At 37.1% G+C, this 25,223-nt stretch overlaps 1 long non-coding RNA gene across 1 annotated transcript in view, besides 1 other annotated feature; it reads right to left on the minus strand.

The window, feature by feature from the left end:
- Nucleotides 1-15,825, minus strand: part of LINC02505 (long intergenic non-protein coding RNA 2505) — a 145,364-nt gene extending 129,539 nt beyond the window's left edge. The window contains exon 1 of the long non-coding RNA NR_149124.1: nt 15,775-15,825. This is a non-coding gene — a long non-coding RNA (long intergenic non-protein coding RNA 2505). The remainder of the gene's footprint in view (nt 1-15,774) is intronic.
- Nucleotides 15,000-15,669: an enhancer, noted in NCBI's record as "OCT4-NANOG-H3K4me1 hESC enhancer chr4:36642697-36643366 (GRCh37/hg19 assembly coordinates)". NCBI's record gives its function as "activates a minimal SCP1, AML or CMV promoter by ChIP-STARR-seq in primed H9 embryonic stem cells {active_cell/tissue: H9 hESC(primed)}" and the evidence as "EXISTENCE:reporter gene assay evidence [ECO:0000049][PMID:30033119]".

The raw sequence follows: 25,223 nt of genomic DNA on the forward strand, positions 1-25,223 counted from the left end.
ACAAGTGTTTCTTGTTATTAGGCACATCTGAAGCCTGTTAGCAATAATGTGAACTGTGATCGATTAAGCAGCTGACCAATCGTTACCTCCTCCACCCTGCTCTTTCTACCCAATAAATAGGAAGGGCTGTGGAAGCTCAGGGGCTGCCTTTGCTCACTAGAAGCAGGGAGCTCTCTTCTTCCCCTGGCCTGTTCCTTTAAAACAGTTTCTTTTGTCTTAAGTTTTCATTTCTACGTTCATTCCCCTTTGTTCAGTCTCGTAATGGTGGTCTCAAGCAGTAACAGTAGTAACTGCTGTAATGATGGTCTCAAATAGTAGCAGTGGCAGTCTGCCACACAAGGCTGCCATGTTGTTATGTGAATTAGTCCTTTTCCATGCTGCTGATGAAGACAAACCCGAGAAGGGCAATTTACAAAGGAAAGAAGTTTGATGGGCTTAGAGTTCCACGTGGCTGAGGAAGCCTCAAAATCATGGCAGAAGGCAAGGAAATGCAAATCATGTCTTTCATGGATGGCAGCAGGCCAAGAGAGAGCTTGTGCAGGAAAACTCCCCTGTATAAAACCATCAGATCTCTGCCTGGCGCAGTGACCCATGCCTGTAATCCCAGCAATTTGGGAGGCCGAGGAGGGCAGATCACGAGGTCAGGAGATTGAGACCATCCTGGCTAACACGGTGAAACCCCATCTCTACTAAAAATTCAAAAAAATTAGCTGGGCTTGGTGGCGGGTGATGGTAGCCCCAGCTACTCAGGAGGCTGAGGCAGGAGAATGGTGTGAACCCAGGAGGTGGAGCTTGCAGTGAGCCAAAATCATGCCACTGCACACCAGCCTGGGTGACAGAGCAAGACTCCGTCTCAAAACACACACACACACACACACACACACACACACATCAGATCTCATGAGACTCATTCACTATCATGAGAATAGCATGGGAAAGACCTGAGCCCATGATTCAATTACCTCCCACCAGATCCCTCCCACAACACATAGGAATTCAAGGTGAGATTTGGGTGGGGACACAGCCAAACCATACCATTATGTGACCCCCAACTCTGGCAGCAGATATTTTGCCTCAGAAATGGCTGCATGATCCAAAGTAGGAAAATGGTTCTTTTCATGGGATTTTAAATTTTGGACTAAAATAATCAATTTTTTTTCTATGACTTTAGATATAACATTTAGGATGTGTTTGTTTCCTATCTTCAGCCATGTAGAGAGAGGCAGCCTGAGAGAAGAATAATGCCACAACAAAGAGAAGCAGTGATAAGAGGAAGCAGCTTCTAATGGTGTCCATGCCCTTCTTTACAAGTATTTCTGATAAATTTTTCCTGTTGCTGAGGATGGTTCAAGTAGATTCTTTTGTCACTGACAAACACAGCGCATTAACTAATGCACAATTAAATGTTATTAAGTGTCATTAAATGTCCTCATACTTTGTCCTTATAATTTTTAGTTTCTTTTTTTCTCTGTCAATTTCAACTCTTGACTTCTTTAGCTACTTCCTTCTTAGTTGGGAAGCCAATTAAACAAATCCGTTATAATTGCCTCTAAACTAAGGTCAGATGCACTTTGTGATAGTGTGGACTGTTCCTTTTTAATTAGAATGCCTGAGCATTAGTGAGTGGATCTTGTGACATCTATTTTAACAGCTTAGGGTCTTTTTGTTTTCTTTTACAAGCCAAACTTTATTAAGTGAGATATGTTAGGGTGATCCACTGTCCAGAGGGTTCCCAGGATGCAGGACTTTCAGTAACAAAACCAAAAAAAGTCCTGGTTTAATGGGACAAGATGGCCACACTAATGCTGGAATTGGCTTCTTGAAAATGTGAGGCATCATTTTATACTTAAGTGCTTAGGCTCTGGAGCTAGCTCCTCTGGGTGAAAATCCTGGCTCTGCTGTTTAATGCACCATCTTGGTAAAATTCTTTACCTGTTTGTATGTCAGTTTTCTCCATCTGTAAAATGGGCGTAATAATGATGTTTGCCTCTTAGGTATATTTTAAGCATTAAGTTAGTTAATATATATAGTCCTGAATATAATGCCTTACAGTAAACACATTAATTTTAGTTGCTATTGCTATTCTTATTATTGAGTTTTTAGTTGCTACAGCCAAATAGATGGCAATGAATTTAGAGTAAATTTGAGTACTGGACTTCCCACAAAGTTTAAGTAGAGCATATATCCTAAAATGCTCTGAACTATCACTATTATCCAGATATTAGTTCTTCCATTAGATTTGCATATCATTTTTTTTCTGTTTTCCCCAATCTTCACATTATCATTAAGCATTATTCTGCATTTGATTTGTAAAATGAAGCTATGCATTTGCCCTATAACTTTTCCCACTCTTTCCTTTCCCTATGTCCAGGCATAAAGAAACAGGAAAAGAAGTAAGAAAAATAGGAGGAGAGAGAAACAATCACCTTGTCATACAATGTCACAGTGGTCATATCCTAGTCAGAATAAAATTTGGTATTTGCTCTATATCTACATCCAATGAAGTTTTCACTCAATCTATATCCAATGGCTTTCTTTTTATTTATTCTTTCCTAAAACGAATTCTTTTAGAAGACCATTTTATAGAATATAGCAGTTTTTAAAAAATCAATAAAACATGACAGAGTATATTTTTAAGTGCAGTACCAATTGAGATCACAAAAAATAATAATAATAATAATGGCTCTTACCTTTTATTAGGGGACTTAATTCAGGAAAAGTATACTGGATCAAATGTTTCACATATGTCACAACTCATTTTTGGCCTTACAACACTTTTCAAGGTAAGTAAGCACCCTTTTTATTTCATTTACATAAAGGATAGAACTGTGGGATAAGTTGCAGCTCAGAGAAAATAAGCAGTTTCTCAAGTAATATAAAGAGTATTAGTATGTGTTTGTGTTTTATTTTGCTCAGACAAAATTAATAATTTTCTTATTCTTTTATTTCTGGTCATGTTCTAGTTCATGTCATGTTCTAGTTCCATCATTCATCTAATCTTCCAGAGTTGCTGTAACTATACTTGCCTTAGGACTAGATGAGATGGACAATTTTGTACATTTTTGTACTCAACTAGATTTGAGTACCATTTCTTTTAGTCTGAGCAGGGCGTTTTCTGAGAATCTGCCAGCCAGTATACCCCAGTAGTTCAGCTTATCTGTCTTACCATGGATTCTGTTCTGAAATTGTATTTTGGATCTAGTTAACTGACCCAATACTCTGTGACCTCACACCTAAGTCCTTGATGCATACTCTGGTTTATCTTTGACTAAGTCTAACATTTTATTGAAACATAGCCACATTCATTCATTGGCATGTCAACTATCACTGTCTTCATGCTATAATAGCAAAGTTGAGTACAGTACTTGCAAAAGAGACCATATGACCTGCAAAGGCTAAATTATTTACTATCTAGATCTTAACATAAAAAGTTTGCCAACCCGTAGACTAGTCTTTCAACTCCAGACTCATTGGGTACCTCTAATGGGGTTTTCCATTCACTATGTCTATACCTACTGTTTTTTGCCTATAGTTGAGAAACCTGCCTGCTGGACCACCTCGTTAAATCTCTTAGTTAAACCTCTTATAATTGACTCATGTCTGTGTATACTCCATGTCCTGCTTACACTGAATCTGGACCATTGAAAAGCCTTAAGTATGACATATTTTAATGAAGCGACTCTGTTTTATCTTTATCAGTCCATTTGTTCTAATTAGCTCAACAGGAAGGTGAGTTGAAATGCATTGGCACCCTACAGATAGGACAATGACAACACAGGTAAGGGGTTGGGGTCATCAATTCTTTTTCTTTTCCCAACCACAAGTACCATTTCTAACATACATTATGTTCATACTGTTTTTATTTCCTTGTTTTGAAATGACATTTAGGATAGAAAAAGTACAGAGAATTTTTTGAGGGGAGGCATGTTCTGACCTTTACTTTATATAAAAGGGAATAAGAGCAGAATTATGAAAAAGACTTCAATATCCACATCCTTTCACAGGAGGGTAGGAGTTCACCAAGCAGGGAAGAGATTAGAAGATAATCGCTATTATATCAAATTAGAGCATTTTCAAAATCATAGCTACAGCTATAGAACTCCCACTGAAAACAAGCTAAAATTAAAAATTCTCAGGTCTATAACTGTGGCTCCCCATTGGTGGAATATACTTTGGAGTACAGTTTGCATGACTGTTCTTTGAGGCAAGAAATTTTCCCTCCTCTGTTAATCCTAACTGGGCTAGGCTGTCGCTGATTAAGACAACTCTCTAAGATTTGGAGCCAAGCGATGAACTGTGCAACCCAAACCTGGTGCTCATGGCTAGAAAGTATCAGGGACATGGATGTTTCCAGAATAAGCACCAGAAGCCCCAAATTCTTCAATAAAGTCTCTGCTCCTGTGACTTTCTTATATAAAATAACTGTGCTGACACAGATTATAGGAAGAACAGGTTCCCACTTGAACTTAGGGAGCTTTCTATTTAGTGCAAATTGAGAAAACAGGGGAAGCAGGTGCTTTATAATAAAGGATTTGTATTCCACTGCCACTGTTACCAGGGAGAGAGCAAACCACATTTTATTTCTGGTTTCATACAGAATGCTCCTTGAAAAACGTAAGCCTAGGAAGCAGCACCTGTTGTACATAGGTGATTTCCCCCACTGATAGATTCAAACTGCTGGCCTGACTTTCTGATTACCTAAAGCTGTTTCTCATACATCTGTCATAACTTATAACAAGACATTTAAAAGGATGTCTGACAACCAATGTGAAAAGCTATTTAGTCCTCAGTCTAGCTTTTCAAATGGTAGTACATTGATCAGTTAGGCAGTTTAATGAATCTGCCATCTTGTATCAGCAGTTATTCTCTAAATTAAGTCATATTCCATATAAAAACCTTATTGTTATTCAAGGCACTTCCCAGCTCCAGCTGTAAGACTGGATTAAATCAATATGTTCCTATGAGAAACAGCTTCTTGGGGAAGGCAATGTTAAAGTGCACAAGGTAACAACAAAAGAAAAATACAGGATTTCATTTTACTAATGAAGTTCCAAGGTGTGTTTTCATACACTTATAGTAATTTCTCTTTTCACAGGCTCTTCCTTTGGAGTCACTGCCCCAAAATAATATGTATAATCTCACTCACTGAAAACGAGAAGGTAGGTCGCAGGAGTCATCTTAGCTAATGTCAGCATATCTTACACATGGCCTGGGATAGTTGGATGACTGAGCAAGCTGCCCTCTTTTATCCAATGATATAGATATAGAATAGAGTTAGATTTTCTCTCCCCTTGTCTCTGCATTTACATTATGGACTCTAAGTGGCATTCTAATCCTGTCACGATTATAGGTAAATTAGAAAATAGTGTAGACTTTATTTTTATGACAAACCAACCTATGTTCAATTCTAGGATCTCCTATTTACTATGTGCATAAACTAAACCAAATCACTTAACTCTTTTGTAAAATAGGTCACTATTTTCCTGTTTGTTTTACAATGTTATTGTGTCTTTTATTCATTTTGTATCCTCATGAGCTAGACTAAGGCTTGACACATGGTAGGAACTCTAAAAAGTTTTGTGGAATGAATGAAAGTGCTGTGAAACCCTGTAAAGCTCCACACTCCATGCTCTGGTATAATGATCAGACATTTTAAGCCAATGAATGTGGCTGATCACATTCAATGTATGTGACATTTTTAGCCCATGTTCTTCACCCTGGCCTATTTGTTCATCTTTTGTCATTTGATTCTATAGCTTTTCTACCAGTGACAGACAAAGTGCATTTCTTTGCCCATTGTCTTCTGGCTTAGACCTGGAATTAAAAGAAAGTGTGTGCAAACGAGTTTTCTAGGTAAGCCTAGTCCATCAGAGGCATTGTACAGTTCAGCTTGCTCTCTTGCTTTCTGCCATTACTGTGGCAGGCCAGGTCTCACTAATGCAGGCCTCCATAACAACTGCTTCAGTACTGAGTGGTTAAATTAAATATTAAATATTAAACGCTAAAAAAAGCCAGTGCCCTTATAAAAAGATGGAATGTAATCAAAGCCCACCAAGAGTTTTGCCCAGGCCTTTCCTGGACCTTAAAGCATGACAAAGTAATGAAAGAATTCTTAACAGGACCCATTCAGGATTAAACAAGTTCTATTAGGGGTCTGAAGAAATTCCCAATAAACAAACAAGTTTACTGGAGATCTGATGGCACTCCCCAAACCTCTGTGATTTAGCAGCAGACAAGATAAGGGTAATCACCCCAGCACCTGGACTCATTTAGATTAAGTAAATTTAATGAGGCTCCAGAGGAAGGTCTTCAGGACTCAGACCTTAGTTACAGATTAAAATAACTTAATCACTTATGTCTTTAGATGAATGCACACTTACGTGTAGACACACAGCTAAGAAGGTATATAAGCTCTGGAAAACTTTGTAATTTTGAGTTGGCCTGACAATAATTTCCAGGCTTTCTCCCTGTAGCTGATTACAGAAATAAAACTCTTTTCCTTCTCAGTTCATCTGCATCTTGTTATTGGGCCATGAGAAATAGCAGCCCGACCCTCAGTTTGGTCTGAGAACATTACCATGAGAACATAGCCCAGCTAACTTATTGATCCAAGGCGGATGAGAGACATGTGGAACATTTTCAAGCTGAACCTACAGGTTATAGCCTCCTAGCCAAGCCCAGACTGCATTAGCTGAACCCCTACTGAATTGCAAAAGCATGAGCAAAATACTTATTGTTTTGGGTCCCTGAGATTTTGTAGTTATTTTTAAGGCAGTAACAGCTAACTAATATACCATGCAATGTAAATGCTCACTGATTAAGTACCTTGTAATGATACATTCTTAGAGAGGGAAAAGTGAAAAAGGCAAACATGGAATAGATATAGCCCAACTCTCAAGAGTTTAAAAGTTATTCTGTCTCCACCAAATACTGTAAGAATTAATAGACAAATTCAGTAAAGTTACAGAATTCAAAATCAATATACAAAACGAGCTGTGTTTTTAATACACTAACAACAAAGCATCCAAAAAGTTTAAGAAAACACCATTTACAATAACATCAAAAAGAATAAAACACTTAGGAATAAATTTAACCAATTAGGTGAAATATCTGTACACTGAAAAGTATAAAACACTGATAAAATAAATTGAGGAAGACACAAATAAATGCACAGACATTCCATGTCCATGGATTGGAAGAGGTAATATTGTTAAAATGACCATACTACCCAAAGTAATTTACAGATTCAACAAAATCCCTATCAAAATTTCCATGGCATTTTTCACAAAAAGAAAAAAATTCTAAAAATTAATGTGGAACCACAAAGACCCAAAATAGCCAAAGCAATCTCAAGAAAGAAGAATAAAGCTGGAAGTATCATACTTCTTGATTTTTAAATATCTTGCAAAGGTATAATAATCAAAACAATATAGTTCTGGCATAAAAACAGACTATAGACCAATGAAACAAAATATAAAGCCCAGAATTAGTCACACATTTGTAGTTAACTAATTTTTGACAAAGGCACCAAGAACACAAAATGGGCAAGGATAATCTCTTCAACAAATGGTGCTGGGAAAATTGGAATATCCACATACGGAGAATGAATTGAACTCTTATCTTAACCATATACAAAAATCAAATCATAATAGCTTAACACTTGAAATCACAAAACTTCTAAGATAAACCATGGAGGAAAAGCTCCTTGACATTGGTCATGACAATTAATTCATGAATATGACATGAAAACATGGACAACAAAAGCAAAATAAACACATGGGACTGTATCAAGTTAAAAAGTTTCTGCATAGCAATAGGAGAAAATATGTCCAAGTCATATAGCTGATAATAGTATGATAATAGCCAAAATATACAAGGAATTCCTATAACTCAATAGCAAAAGAATAAATAACTCTATTAAAAAATGGGTTAAGGACCTGAAAACACATCATGCCAAAAAAGATATCTAAAAGGCTAACAGGTATAATAAAAGGCATTCCTTTAAGTAATTACTAATCATCAGGAAAATACAAATAAAAACCACAATGAGATACTGCCTTACAACTGCCAGGTTGGTTATTATCAAAAAAATAAAAGATAACAAGTATTGTGAGAATGTGGAGAAAAGGAAATCCTTATACACTCTTGGTGGGAATATTAACTGGTGTAGCAATTATGGAAAACAGTATGAAGGTTCTTCAAAATTTAAAAGTAGAACTACTGTAAGATTCCCACTTCCGGGTATATTTCCAAAGGAAATAAAATCAGTATGTCAAGAAGATATCTGCACTCCCAAATTCATTGCTATTTATTTACAATAAGCAAGATAGGGAAACAAGCTAACTGCCCATTGATGGATAAATGAATAAAGAAAATTTGTTATATGTACATATGCGATGGAATATTATTCGGCATTATCAATAGAAAAAAATACTGTCATTTCTGACAACATAGATGAACCTGAAATATATATACTAAGTGAAATAAGGCAGACACAGACAAATACTGTACGATATCACTTATATGTGGAAAATGAAAGAGTCAAACTCATAGAAATAGTGGAATGGTAATTACAAGAAACTGGGAGGTAGGGAAAATGTAGAGATGTTGGTCAAAGTCTATAAACTTTTATAAGTTGAATAAGTTCTGGAGATCTAATGTACAGCATGGTGACTATAGTTAATAATGTATTGTGTATTTGAAATTTTCTAAGAGAATAGATCTCGCATATTCTTGCAACATAAATTAAGAGAGGTAATTATGTGAGGTGATAGATATGTTAATCAGCCTGATCGTGCTAATCATTTTACAATATACACCTACACCAAATAAGCACATTTTATGCCCTAATATATATATATATAATTTTTATTGGTCAATCAGAACTCAATAAAGCTGGAAAGAAAGAAAAGTTATTGTGGATATGACAAATACATGTCATTACAATAATACAACACAAGAAAGAGCACGAGAAATATACCATGAAATAAAAAATGGCAAAGTGGTAGTAATATAAGAGTCAGGGAAGATTCACTCATTCATTCAGCAAATACCTATAAAATGCTTATTCCTATTTTGTAATGAGTACTGAAGAAGTGGTGGTTTGCAAAACAGATTAAGTGTCTACCTTCATGGAGTTTATCATCTAGTTAATGCAAAGAGGAGGTACTGTTTGATCCTGGACAAGGAAGATGAGCTTATTTTCTCCATTTGTAAAGATGGAGGAGTTACTATTTAAGCATAATAGACAATTTGTATCCAGCAGCAGCACAGAAGTTTGATGAGATGATCTGAGATGAGAGAGGGTGGGTATCTTTTTTGAAATATATAGTTGAAGATTCAGATTCTCAGAGCTCATTAATCAAATGCCCAATTTAACTTTATTTTATGGTTACTAAGAATATAACTGAATGCCCAGAATGCCTGCAAAGATGTTCACTAAAGCTTCTAGACCTTGAAATCTTTTTTTCTGAACTTTAGTGTCATAATTCCTTACATCCTCTGCCATTTCTATTTTCTTTCTTAAGTGTTAACCTTATTTTCACAACTAAATTTTAAGCTTGTTTCATCCATTCATGTGTTCATTCAACATTCATATTTTCTGGCACCTACTATATGCCAAGCACTGGGAATATAGCAATGAACCAAACAGATAAAAATTTCTGTTCTCAAGGCGCTAAAGTACAGTAAGATAGTGAAGAAACAAAGTCAATCACAAGTACATTATATAATATGTCAAAAAGTGATACGTGTTATAGAGAAAATAAAACAGTGCATAGAAATAGGAAGCTCTGATGAAGTGTAATATTAAATAGTGTGGCCAGAAAAACCCTTATTAAAATGTTGATTATTGGCCGGGCGTGGTGGCTTATGCCTGTAATCCCAGCACTTTGGGAGGCCGAGGCAGGCGGATCACGAGGTCAGGAGTTTGAGACCAGCCTGGCCAACATGGAGAAACCCCATCTCTACTAAAAATTAGCCAGGTGTGTTGGCATATGCCTGTAATCCCAGCTACTCGGGAGGGTGAGGCAGGAGAATCATTTGAATCCAGGAGGTGGAGGTTGCGGTGAGCCAAGATCACACCATTGCACTCCAGCCTGGGCAACAAGAGCAAACTCCATCTCAAAAAAAAAAAAAACTTGATTATTTTCTGAAGAAAGTAAGGAAGCAGGTCATAAGGATATAAGGAAGGAAAGCATACCAGGGAGAGAGAACAGCAAGTGCAAAAGTTAAGGTGGAACCATATTTAACTGCTCACAAGCAACAATAAGAACATCAGCCCTGCAGAGGGAGTGGAGAAATAATTCATGATGCCCCTGCTGTAAGAATGAATGGGGGCTAGATTCACACATGGGCACTGTGTGGATTTAAGCCATTGCTCTAAATTAAAAGTGAAACTGTTACGGGTTTTTAGGCAGTGGGGTTCATGATCTGTCATTTTAAGAGGCTCCATGTTGATAACAGACGGAAGAACTATAAGCACAGTTTGGAGACTATAATCTGGGTGGCAAATGAGGGAGGCTTAGATGTGGTTAGTAGCAGTGAAGGAGTTGAAAAAAAGTCAGTGCTGATTATATTTTGAAGGTAGAGTCAACAGAATTTGATCATAAATTGAATATATGCTGTAAAGAATACATTCAAGACTCAGTTAAATATGTGTAGCCTGGGTAGATGGAAATACAGAGTTGCCAATTACTGAGATAGAGAAAGCTGTGGGATGAACAGCTTTCATGGAGAATATTAGAAATTTAATTTTAGACATATTATGTTTAAGATACTTATCTCCAAGTGGGGATGTAAAGTCATCAGTCAAATTTATTATTCTAGGGTTCAGGGAAGAGATCCACCCTGGAGACATAAATTTGTAAGTTGTTGGCATACTGGTAGAATTTAAGGCCATGAGACTAGATGGGATCAACACTTACAGAACTGAGGTAGAAAACAGAAAATGTCTAAGGACAGAGCTCTGGAAGTTTCACATTTTAAAATCAGAGCGACTAGAAGTAACAGAAAGAGCCGTCTGTGAAGTAAAAGGAAAAAGTATAGAGTGTGGTGTGTTCTGAAAGCCAAGAATCAAGCAATGATCAATTGGGTCAAATGCTGCTGATAGTTCAAGGTGAAACGGGACAGTAGCATCAAGGGAAGGTTCTGCATTTACAATAAGATGACGGCATGTTTGTGAGTTGAAGGGAGACAGTCACTAGACAGAAAACAATAGGATGCAGGAGAGGCAATGGTTAACTACCTGCCAGAGCTATGTCTTTGAGTAGCCAAGACGGGATGGGACCTTAAGAGTTGTTGCCTATGCCTATATTTCCTTGGCCTAGGCCAAGGCTCATTGGAGTTCAAAATACTTGTTGGCAGACCAATTTCCTCCATGGGTTTAAAAAAAAAAAAAACAACAGATGATAAGACTAAAAAAGAACTCTTTAGAAAATAAATTCATTATCTACTACTTTCCAGGTATATGAACAAATTTGTTCAGCTTCCTTGGGATGCAGAGGTTAAAAACATCATTGTATCTTCCCCCAATATCAGGGCACAAATTCTCCTATGGAACATAATGTAATTTTAACAAAAATGATGCATTTTTCTAACTAGTTATTCATGGTACTATAAATACCTAAAGTTAATCACCATTATGTTGAGTACTGTTATACAAGTTGATGAATATTAATTACTAATTAGTATGCATCTAGATTTCAGTGTTCACATGTAACATCCACATAAAAGGATAAAACAAAAATCCACACCAGAAATGGAATTATTTTTTTATTACCTAATTTTATCAAACTCTAGCCCCACTATAATTTGTCTCAAATGCAGATTTCTTCTTCGTTTTATTCTTATCTGATTGATCACATTGAAATGAAAAAGAGTAATGTTACTGCATCTTAAAATGGCAATTTTGCCACGGTAAATATTCAGTAATAAAAGTTTACTTCTATGGCTATTTTGGCATCTAGAAAAATGTGGGAATATTTTACTTTATTTTTTTGTAATATCTCCACATTGCTCAAATCCTTTTGGCCCACTCTAAAGGGATCTATAAAAACCTTTCACGAGAAAAAGCACTAGTAAGAATCTCTACAAGTCTAGAGCACTTTATAGCTTTTAAAGTGTTTGTAAATAATATGCTCTCTGTTGATTGGATCTTTGTAACTTTCCTGGGCCTCAGGAGCCAGCCAAAGAGAGTTTGAGAGCAGCTGTTAGAGTAGGAGCCAAAGATTTATCAAGAGTGCCTGCTAGGGAATTATGCTTTGGAAAGTTAAGTTGAAGTCTTAGGTTGTGGGATAGTTACTGCGATTTGCTTCATCAGCAGCTGTACCAGAGAAGTGGGTGGGTTGTTAATGTAAGATGCCATAGCCAGAAGGGCTCCTGAGAAAGGGAAGCCTGGGCTGGACCCAGGGAGGTATAGGTTGTAAAGAAAAAGGCTCAGATTATCTCCCTCTACCTAAATTTTTATAAGTGGAAGACTCCTAGTGCTGCTCTTAGAAATTGCTTCGGATAAGCATAACAGGAGGTGGTTTCTTTGTCTCATAAGAGGTTCAAAGGTGCTTAACAAAGAGTTCACTATGCTGCTACTGAGTTGTAACTAACATCAAACACTATTTTGTCTCCTGCAATTTCCTCCCTGACATATGGAGATAGTTCTGTGGTATGTTTTACTAATTTTAATTTTGAAAACTTTAACAAAAAATGTTTTAAACGTTGACTCAAAACATTCAAAGAAATTCAACTTTTATTCAGTTTCATATTTTTTAAAAAGGCTGTAGTCAGATATAAAAGTAGTTAAATGAAGTCAGTGAATTTATTCTATAATTTTAAACTTTTTAAATGAATTTTAAAATGCCAGATTTTTTCCAAGCTGTAAAGGAAGAACCCTAGCGTTTTGATTGTCCATCTTTATGTTCCTGGACAAACGTGGTCTGGCTGCTTGTTCTGAGAGGAGGCCCAATAACGAGATATAGACAGACTGGGAAGGAAGGTATTTTATTTCTACAGTGGGTTACGGGAAGAAAGTCAGAGTAACTCACCAGACCAACTTAAAGTTATACGTTTTTCTCCAGGCCTTATATACATTTTAAGCTCTACGCCTACATGTGGAAGGTCACCTACAAGTGAAGTGTTTCATTCCATCTATATCTAATCTTTAACTAGGGTCTGGGATCTGGAAAATTTTCTCTAGAGCCTTGGAAAGTTTCTTAATCTTAAGCGGGCCCTGGTATAGGTGTATGTGTAAGAATGCTTTTATTATTCTATCAGACTTTAGGGTCTGAAAAAACCCAGGTGGGGTCTAAATGGGTTTGTATTCACATTCCAGCCCTCCTACTCAGGCACCCGTTTCTCCAGTTCTTTAATGTGTAATTCACACATTCATCAGGATTATATTAATAGTAAAGGGTTTGTGGAAACTAGCAGCTCTGGCTGCTTATGGACACCTGGCCTGGCAAAATTACACATATGGAATACTATTTTTTTCAATGTAACATTTAGGGTGCTTATAGATTTTCTTTCTCTCTCTCTTTCTGTGTGTCTGTGTGTTTTATAAATGTGACTTTAAGAATGATATTCGATCCAAATCATTAATCTATTAATTAAAAATGTGGCTATATTGTAATAGTAAATAAAGTTGGCTTAGAACTGAATTAGACTTTAGAATGATTATAGAAGTCTTAGCCTGGAACCACACAAAGAGATACTCAATAAGCTTCATTAGGTCACAAATCTACCTTTTTCTACAAGAATTATCTGTGTGTTATAGTAACAGGTCAACTCAAGTCAAGGCAGAGGCCTCCCACCAACTGCATCTTTGCTGCATAATGTAATAATATCTATGTTCTTCCAAGCCAAATAAGCCCCCTGAATCTATTGACCTCTATTATTTGGCAAATTAAAAAACAAAAACAAACTCCTCCCACAATGGTTTTCCATTTTCTCTCTGAAAAACAAAAGCACAAACAAGAACATGTTCAAGTTACTAAAAGCATTGCTAAATACTAGCCAATTTCCTGTGAAAATCTTCTCAAAGAAAGCCCAGGAAATTGCAATCACTTAAACACTTAGAGACTACAACATCTTTTTTTGTGACTAAAATGTGTTTATATTTCTGTCTGTCATCTTTTTAGCTATTTTAATTCAGGGAATGCTCTGTTTTATCTCAAAGAAACTAATTTGGGGCCAAGTTCCTTATATTACATAGTTTTTTTTACTCCCCACAGTAGTACATATTCTCCCTAAAATGACTATTTAATAAATAATCTTACTTAAATGACACTACCTAGTGTTTCCCAAAGTTATCTGAAGGTAAGAATCACCCAGAGTGTTCCTTAAGATGCAAATTCCTGAGCCCTCAACCCAATGCATTGAATCAGAATTTCCAAGGAAGAAAGCTTTCCAAATGTTTGTTCTCATTAGGAAAGTTTAGGAAACTCTAATTCATCATGGAAAACAGACCTAATCTGCTTTCAGCAACCCAAAAGGGCTGGATAAAGTTACAGAAAAAATAAATAAAATGTCTATTGACCCCTATTATTTTGCAAATTAAAAAAAACTACCCCCACAATGCAAAAAATGAAAGTTTTCTTTCCAAACTTCAGAGAAAAACCCTTCAGAGGAAGTTTGAAAAGAAAAAAGTGAGAAAGAATATGTGATCCAATAAGTTTGTGTGTGCTGGGGATATGGTGGGAAGTTGAGATTGCTACTGCTTGGTGAACTTTATTTTCTCTGTGAAAAAGGAATATGCAGCCATCTGACTGAGAGAAAGACAGGGAGCCATCAGGGGCTCAAGGAATATGGTGAAGGTTGGACATAGCTGAGGGGAATGGGAGAGGGGACAGGTAAGAAACATAGAGAAGAGTGCAGAGTGACAGTTGAGTAATCTTCTGACAAAGCAATCCAAGAACCTGTACATATTATGATGGATTTATGTTTATATAGTGGCCATGATGGCTCCAGAAAACTAAACAGAATGGCACATTCCCTAATGAGAGCTAACAGGTATGGCAGGCAGCTTCCAAGATGGCCTCCAGTGATTCTTGCTACCTGGCAATTCTCTCCCCTTGTTTGTGGATTGGACTTATTAATTCACTTCTAATCAATATAATATGTCAGACGTAATGGAATATCACTTCCAAGATTAGATTATAAAAAAACTATAGCTTCCGATTTGGGTCTTTCTCTGACTGTCTTTTAGATTGTTCATTCTGGGGGAAGCCAGCTGCCAGGGAACCCTGTGGAGAGGCCACATGAGCGAGCTTAGCATTGGAATTTTTGAATCCCGGCAACAACTTTGTAACCATAAAAGTGCATTTTCCAACTCCAATTGAGTCTTCAGGTGACAGCATTTCTAATTAACAGCTTGACTGAAACCACACTGCAGATGTTGAGCCAGTAATGGCAACGAGCTAAGTTACAACTGGCCTTCCACCCCACAGAAATCATGAGATCATAAATGTGTGTTGCTGTAAATCACTAAATTCTGAAGTAAGTTGCTATATCACAGTAAATAACTCATACAATATGTATGTAAGGACAGACTGAGGAAAACAAAAGAAATGACAAGACATTAAGCCTTAAATATATTGAATATTGTTTGTAATTGTAATTCTATTTCTTTACTTTTAAAAAACATTTTCAGCCGGGCGCGGTGGCTCATGCCTGTAATCCCAGCACTTTGGGAGGCCGAGGCGGGCGGATCACAAGGTCAGGAGAGAGAGACCATCCTGGCTAACACGTTGAAACCCCATCTCTACTAAAAATACAAAAAATTACCTGGGCGTGATGGCGGGCGCCTGTAATCCCAGCTGCTCCGGAGGCTGAGGCGGGAGAATGGCGTGAACCCGCGGGGGCGGAGCTTGCAGTGAGCCGAGATCGCGCCTCTGCACTCCAGCCTGGGCGACAGAGCGAGACTCCGTCTCAAAAATAAAACTAAAATATATAAAAAAAATTTTTTTCATGGTTAAGTGAAAATTTTTCTATTGCTCATTAAATGCACAATTAAAGTTCTTATTTGTAAGGCATGTATTGTTATCTTTATTTTTTTCTTCAGGTGAAAAAAATTTGGCCTGTTATGCCTTCTATACTCTCCTGTTAAAGCACTGATGAAAACAAACTGCCAGAAATAAAAGTAAGGTATTGATAAGCTCTAAATCTTTAATTCTTTATTCATAGCAATAATACTAAGACAATTACCCCTTAGTAAGGACAATTATAAAAATGTATTTCTTCAGTATACACATTTATCAATTCAAAACATTCAGATTGTCTTGAAACTCCAAGTCTCTAAAACAGAAGTATTTTTTACTCTGTATTTTAGTCAACCAGTTGATTAATCAAAACTTGTTGTTTTCTATATGCAGTGATGTTTATAACAATAGCATGTACATATAAGATATGCACCTTATTTTCTGTACATTAAAGAAAATGAAATTAATAACTGTCTTCAAAATTTCAAGTCAATAGATAAAAGAAAATTCAGGAATGACAGGATATATTAATATTTATACATATAGCTCCTCAATCTATCACTTACCTGATTTAGATAATGTGATTTTCTGAACCTTGCCTGAATATTAGCAGACTCTTATCCATTACATCAGAGATACTGATTAGATTGGCTTGAGGAATGAGTGGTCTTTATAGAATTATAAATATTTATTCACTAGCTATTTATATTACCATGATGCCCTTTCTTATGCATCCTATGTGCTCATATGTCTTTGGAAATTATCCTTGACACTTGATTTATGAAATAAAAAACACAGACTTCACAGGGTATATTGTAATAGTGCATGCACACACACACACACACACACACACACACACACACAGAGAGTTTTACATTTTAGAATTGTAATTTGTCTGTTGCTACAAAATAATAAAGGGAATTTTTTGTTTGTAATAGAGAATATAAAAATATATTTCTTAAAAGTAATCTACTAATTATGTAAGCTACCAGAACTTTGAATAGCAGCAATTTATTTTCTATATATTAATGACAAAAAAGGAGCAATTTATAAAAATTAGAACATCAGTATTTTGAGCAACCAGTTGGAACAAGAAGATGCAACCTTGTGTTCAATTAATCAGTTAAAAATGGTAAAAATGAAAAAGAACCCTTAATTGCAAAAATTAATTTGTGAAAATTATTAATACGTGGGACAAAAATTAATCTAATTATATAAGTCTTCTTTAGACGACTGAAGCTGGCAAATTTGGTTTATCAAATATCTACTTGAAAAAATCCTAATTTTCATTTAAGTTAGAATATCTACTCAGTTGCATTATAAAACAGTATACTGAGTCTTAAACAGTTTCAAAAGATATTTCATATCGGAATCACTGTTTGTAGTTACCTTGCAACATCATTTTAAAATTTTAGAGCTTGGTGAAGTTAACTTATCAAATAACTTGAACAGGGTCAACTGACTTTTGCATCATTTCAGGTGATTTCAGTTTGGAAGAAAGCGATCATATATGTATTCACATGAGCACACACATATACCCAAGTATACACACATGCATGTACATATGGACACACAAGACCCCACACACAAGCACACATACACATACCACACATACACACAAGACAGGAGCAGACACCTCAAGTCTCAACACAGGTTGCTTTAGAGCCCAAGGCTCAGCCTAAAGCAGTATGCGCCTGCAGGTGACTGTGCCAAATTGGAGAATTGCAGAACCTGTTGGGGACAACTCTGTATTACTCAGGCTTATACTTCCACAATGGAAGAACTTAGACTGTCTATCTACTCACTGCCACTTAAAGAAATGTTAATAACTATAAAACTCTTCTTTCTTTGAAACAAATTCATACCTCCATAGGTATGAGGGGGAAGAGACAAATAGTCAGTGCTCTAGTCTTCCAGGATTCAGTAAAATCTCTTCTCTCAATAATTTCCTTTATAACACTTACATATTGTTATATTTCTTTTAAAAATATATCTAGATAATTTTTGCATTAGATTATGATATCTTTGACTTCTTCACTTTTTATTGTATACCCTGTTTGGAAATTTATATCTAATGTCATACAACCAGCTAACAATTCTGTTGATATTTCTCAGCTGTGAATCTCTAGCAGTTATATTCACCTCTGTGCTAAACAAAAGGTCTACATTCCCAAACACTACATTCTAACATTTGTTAGAAGCATCCTTTGCAAAGTACTGTAAGAATAAGCGATGTAAAAAGGCTAAAACCAAATTATCACCTTGTTTTCCTACTCTTATCCCCCATTCCAATTTTTCTTATATATGAACCTTTTTCTTAATCAGTGGCAAAATCTTTGCTTCTTCATATTCTTTGAATCTGTATTTTCTTCTCCAGCCTACTGACAATCTTGGTACATGCCTGTGTTATTTCTTATGTTAACTATTTTAATCACCTTCTAAGTGGCCTCTTTTCCTGCAGTATCAGCCACTTCTGCTTATCCTCCAGATTACAAGACAAAATCATTTATCTCAATGCAGATCAGAGCATGTCCCTTCCCTACTTGGAAAAGTTTTCAGCAGTCCATCATTATTTTCAGAATAACGTAGAGTGTGGCAAATAATTAGTTGTATGATCTTGTCCTTCTGGCTCCCACACACATCTTGCCACGAAAACCAGTTGCTATTTCCTGCATGCAATGTGTACTCACCCTGAATTCACACACCATGCTCCATTGCCTTGCTTAACCATGCCTTTTTGGGAAAATCAGATCCTGAGGACTCTTTTCAACCCTCCTTATTCCCATTGAGCAAGCCGAGCTCTATGCATTTATCTTCCTCCTTCTATGGCATTTTCAACATACCAAAATTAAAGATTTGTTTTCTATTGGTTTGTACAGGTCTTGAGAAGAGTTATTATTTTAGGTCCTGAGGCTGTGTTGATTTTTATTTAAGCCTTTCTCTATACTTATCTTAAAAACAAGTATATAATGGGAGAAATTTATTACTAAGAAAAAGTAAACCATGTAAAATTCAGACATTTAACCATCAGTAAGTCTCTCACATGCAGGCTTTCATTCCCATGCTCTCTCATCTTTCTCTCTCCTGCTTCACCTCAGGATTTATTTTATTTTCTCTACTGCTTAACAAGCTTCTGCACATGATGAGGTGCATGGGGTCATGGTTTCACTACGTTATTATTGTTGAGGCTCAGAAAGCAATACCCCAATATGAAGGCCTCAGCATCAGTCTAAGAAGCACAAGTTTTTCTCTGCTCTCCATCTCTCAGTTTCATTCTCCCCTGAGGCCAGTCATAGAAACTAGAATCCCTGCTCCCCAAGGGGGAATCATACAAACCAGAACCCTTTTTCCCAAAGTCAACCATAAAACATAAAAATATTACTCTAATTTTCTTTTTGCTCCATCTGTGTAAAAACTGGTCATAAAGAAATGATCTGATCTACCTCATTCGACTATAGGTCATAAGACCCTTATTCCAGAGGGTTCCTGCCCCACATCCAGAAGGAAGGAGGCATGCTCAGAGAGGCCAAGAATCTGAACAGACAGACCTCTCTGGGTTTTCCCATTTAGTCTATGAGCATTAGGCCACACTCTTGTGAAAGGAAAATATCTTGGGCCCCTAAAATCACTAAGGAAAACTCAAGCTGGAAACTGCTTAGAATCAACCTGCTTCCCATTCTATTCAAAGTTAGCCCTCTGCTCACTAGGATAGATGCATATCTGATTGCCTCCTTTAGAAAGGCTGATCAGAAATTTATCTGTGACCTGGAAACTCCCTCCCCGTTTCGAGTCTTCCTGCCCTTGCTTCAAGATGTCCTGCCTTTCCAGACTAAACCAATGTACTTGTTACATATATTGATTGATATCTCATGTCTCCCTAAGATGTATAAAATCCAGCTGTGCCTCCATCACGTTGGGGTGTCATCAGGACTTGCTGAGGCTATGTCATAGTTGCATCCTCAACCTTGACAAAGTAAACTTTCTAAATTAACTGAGACCTGCCTCCAATTTTCTGGGTCCACGCTCTCTTGTCCAATAATATTCTATATGGCTGTCTATACTTTGTTGAACCCAAGCATAAAAATGGAAAATTGCCCCTGTATCTTTGGTCCTACCCTCTAAAGGTGTAACCGCCCGATGGGTTCACCTTTCCCACTGCCTAGACAGAGCCAATTTATCAACACAGGGGAATTGGAATTGTGAAAGGCTAATTCACACAGAGCCAGCTGTGCGGAAGACTAGGGTTTTGTTTTTACTGAAATCAGTCTCCCTGAGCATTCAAGGATGGGAATTTTTAAAGATAATTTGCTGGGTAGGGGCTTGGGAAGTAGGAAGTGCTGATTGGTCAGGTTGGAGATGGAATCATAGCGGGGTTGAAGCGAGGTTTTCTTGCTGTCTTCTGTTTCTGGGTGGGAATGGCAGAACTGGTGAAGCCAGATTACAGGTCTGGGTGGTGTCAGCAGATCCATCTAATGCAAGGTCTGCAAAATATCTCAAGCACTGATCTTAGGTTTTACAATAGTGATGTTATCCGCAAGAGCAATTTGGGGAGGTTCAGACCCTTGCAGCCAGAGGCTGCATGACCCCTAAAATGTAATTTCTAATCTTGGAGCTAATTTGTTAGTCCTACAAAGACAGATTGATCCCAAGGCAAGAAGAGGGTCTTTTTGGCAAAGGGCTATTATCAATTTTGTTTCAGAGTCAAACTATAAACTAAACTCCTTTCCCAGGTTAGTGCAGCCTATGCCCAGGAATGAACAAGAACAGCTTAAATGTCAGAAGCAAGATAGAGTCTGTTAGGTCTATCTCTTTTGCTGTCATACATTCCTCAGTTATAATTTTTGCAAAGGTGGTTTCAAAGGCTCCCATGTATACCTGTTAAATGTATTTGTATGCCTTTCCTCCTATTAACCTGCCTTTTGAGAGTTGATTTTCCTGTGAACTTTCAGAGGGCCAAGGGGAAAGGTCTCGCTTGGCCCCCATGTTACAAAAATGCAAGATCCCACAGCAAAAGATTTATTCTCCAGGTCTATTAAAATAAAAAAAGATTCTCAGAGAACAGGCATATTGGTTTTCTTGTGCCATATGCTCACCCTTGAACTTGTCACTGCAGTCAGGAAATCTTGGTGCCAGGATTGATTGTTCCTGACACGCATCCCTCCAGGAATGTGACCCAACATTAGTATGTCTTCTGTGCTAGTTTCAACCTTCCTCTGCAACAGGTTATGCTGAAAGATGCTGTGATTATCAGTAACAGTTTTTTCTTCTGAAGCTTCCATTGGATTCGCCTAAACAAAGTAGAAAAGATTAGTTACTGAAAAAGAGGATCCTCCATCTTCAAAGATGGTAGTGCTTCTAATAGGTACTTTCTCTCCCACTGAGTTCAGTGAAATGTTGGAAGAACTCACGTTCCTTTCAATCCTGTGAACTTTTGAATATTGTCTATCTAGTGGGACAAAGGCATCCCTCATACATTAGCAACGTTTCTGTCTTTTGACAAAGTGCTGTTAATGTTTCTTTTATTCTGTTTAAGATTTTATCTATTCAAGCCTTTAAAAGGTGATGAAGGCATTAACATGATTGCTTGGTTTGGGAATTTAAAGTAAAAACTACATCTTTAATACAAAGTATGAACTCAAAGACAATAATTATGGTGTTATATGTGTGTCCAAGTGCCAGGGAAACAATAAATATTTCAATAGTGAAAAACAATTTTCCTCAAGTAATGCCATTTATAAACAGAGCAATTGTATAATCAATTAGAACTGCATGAAAATAATTTGTAAAAAGAAGGCAGCAAATAAAGTATTTATCAAAGATCTGAAATTTTAAATGTATAATTATTCATTGCCCAGTGTTTCTTAGAAAGATTATTGTAGCTGCCTAAAGGAAAAGGAGCATTAAAATGCAGGTGAGTTCTCAATAATAGGTATTAGAGTTGTAGTTTCTCTATTTAAAACCATTAGGGTATCTTTATATTAGTGGACAGTTTCAGAAAGGCAGTAATGACTTCCAATTAAGAGTTCAGTCTGGCTGGGCATGGTGGCTGACACCTGTAATCCCAGCACTTTGGGAGGCTGAAGAGGGCAGATCACCTGAGGTCAGGAGTTTGATAGCAGCCTGGCCAACATGACAAAACTCCGTCTCTACAAAAAATACACAAAAAGAAAAAAAAAATTAGCCCGGCATGGTGGCAGGTGCCTATAATCCCAGCTACACCGGAGGCTGAGGCAGGAGAATCCCTTGAACCTGGAAGGTGGAGGTTGCAGTGAGCCGAGATCACACCACTGCACTCCAGCCTGGGTGACAGAGTGAGACTCTGTCTCAAAAAAAAAAAAAAAAAAAAAAAATTCAGTCTAAAGCATGCCTGGCTTTAATTTTAAGTCTACTAAAACCTTTTTTGGTTTGCAAATTAAAGTCAAAATTGCCAGTGATGCCGCCCTCTAGCTAGAGAAGGACTCTCAGTATACTTTATCTTCTAGAGTCAAATGCTCTGTAGGGCTTGGCTTCCTCCCATGACTTGTAGCAAATTCACCTGACAATTACCGTGCCAGGAGGAAACAGTTTTACCACATTGTTTGAAGGTTGGCTTTAGATTCTCTTTTATTTTTAAAAAATTTATTTATGTCTTTAATTGACAAATAATAATCGTACGTACAATATGTATGGGGTACAATGTGGTGTTTTGACATATCTGTACAAATGTAGAAAGATGAAATCAAGCTAGTTAACATATTCATCACCTCTCCTCCTTATCATTTTTTTTCATAGTGAGAACATTTAATGTTTGTCTCCACTGTTCCATGCAGTCAATTACCTAATATATCTTTAATTCACTCTAGATAATGCTATCCAAGTTGATGCATCAGATAGCTAAGACCTTTCATTTTAGAGCCACAGTGGGATTTTCAGTGTTCCCAATGTTGGGAGGGAACAGCATGGCTGTCCCATAGCTCATGTTTCCACATGGGAACATGACTTGTACTTTGAGCCATGTTTTGCTTATTGCTTCTCAGGGGAGGAGGAGTCATTTTTCTAATAGGTGTAACACTTTATTGGTGTGGGTCCACTTTTTCTTTCCTCCTTTTGGCTTGTGTACATATATGTACATGCATGTGTGTAAGACCACAGTTATTTGCATCAAGGTGCACTGTAGTTTGCTGTCTCCGAAGGTGGTAGCATTATTGGAATAGGCTATACCTATGTGGCAGAGTCTTGAATCTATTTTTTGGCGGGGGGCAGGGATGTGGAAGCTACATTGCCATTTATAAATAGAGCAATTGTATAATTATATGGTAAATCTTGGCAATAATTTGGCATGTTTATCTTTAACTGCTGAACCCTTCTGTTTTTTAAATAGTTCAGAATTCAGACATAGAACAAACAAGAGTTTTATTTAGTAGGTCCTTGAAGAGTCAAACATTAGGACATAGGCTGGAAACTGAGAAAGGCCAAGGTGTAGACTTTGAGGCCCAAATAATTGGCACAACCTGGGGTTGTAGCTTTAGGAATTAGCTTAAGTAAGATCAGTATTGAGCAGTTTTAACCTTATCAATTTGCAATGGCCCTGTTGTCTCAGGTGGCTAATTTTACAGTTGTGAAAATGTATAATTGTACAGTTACGAAAATGATTTCTAACTTGTACCACCTGGAGAGACAGGTACACATTAGAATCTGGTAAATAAGGTTTATGTGACTTTTGAAATTAGCAGAGCCCTGCAGCTTTTGACAGTGTCGATCACAGGCTGAAGGTTGACGTATGTGGTATGGGCCTCAGCACTTTCAGGCACCAGGCACAGAACTTGATAGGCCTGGGAATCAGGGGTCTTGATGTGCAGTCTCTGCAGTGTAACCTTGACCTCTATAGGCACCTATGCTGCAGGCACAGCAGCTTCAAGGATTATTAACAATAAGACTCTTGTAGTCCCAGGAAAAGCTTATTTTGAAACAAGTACAGTCTCAATTACTGCTTTTGTTGGGTTTTTGGCCACGTATGCAGGTCAGGAGACTGAGAGTTTAAACTGCAAAGGTGCCTGACATCTATAAGTGTTACAGGGCATTAGAAGTTGAGGCTTGTACCAGATAGAGGTAAATGATGCTAGACCAGCTGCTCGAAGTTTTGCTTCTTTTCCATGTTGTTTTTACCTACCTCCAGGACCAAGAGAAGGAACTGTGATTTTCTCCACAGGTTCCTAAGGGCAATGCTGAAGCAGATAGCCTCAAAGTTGTCCATTACACTCAAATCTTATCATCCTTTTAGATTTCAGTGGCTGGAGATTAAGACTTTTACCCACAGAAGGGTAGTAGCTTTTAATAATTAATAAATAATGAATGGATAATCTAATTATTAAGAGAATATACAAATTGCTCAGAATGAAGGAAAGAAATAACTCAATAAAATTGTTACAAGTGCAGAAGTTAAGAAGACAATTTAATAGGCCCATATCTCTAGGAATCAGATCTGCATAGAAAAGCAACGAGAAGCTGCAGCATTGGGAAAATACATTTCATTGTCAGATGAAATGGGAGCAGTGGAAGAATGTAAGTACAATAAAGGCAGGTAGTCTGGCTAAGCTGGAAGAAAGATATTCCTCAGGAAATGTTGACATTATAGAGAACAGACAAAAAAAAGAAAGGAAGTGGAAAATGAGAACTTGAACATCTATATACCCAGAAAAAAGTTGTGCCAGATTTTTTCTTATCTCTCTCAAATTGATTCAGCACTCAGGCTTGGAGGTAAAGAAAGTTATAGTTTATTGCATAGCCTGCCTTCTCACATCTAAACATCAGTTCAGCTATCAAGTTATTTTTTTCAAATGTAGACATCCTTGTTTTCTCTGCACAAAATCCTCAGTATGAAATTTGTAGCCTTTCCTAATCCAGGCCCAGCCTGCTGTCCTAATATCTCCTCATTTGTTTATTTATTCAATAGTATTTATTTGGAACATAGTAGCTGCCAGGCACTCTGCTAGCAAGTGAAATGCAATGGTTAACAACATATGTAGTTTCCCACAACATAGGCTTACTAACTAGATGGAAATGCAAGTATTGCAGACCATTTCCAAAATTGGTTTTTAGTTGAAATTTTAATGACAGTAAAGGAGACATACAATGGTCCTGAGGTCATATAACCAAGGGACTTAGCCAAGTCTTCACTGTCAAGGAGACGTGCCGTGAGAAGGTTAGGCTTAACTTTAAAAGTGAGTAGGTATTAGCTTGGATGGTAGAAAGATAGTGGCTTTGGAGGTGGAAGAA

The sequence above is a fragment of the Homo sapiens genome, chromosome 4, assembly GCF_000001405.40.
Source record: "Homo sapiens chromosome 4, GRCh38.p14 Primary Assembly".
NCBI classification, from domain to species: Eukaryota; Metazoa; Chordata; class Mammalia; order Primates; family Hominidae; genus Homo; species Homo sapiens.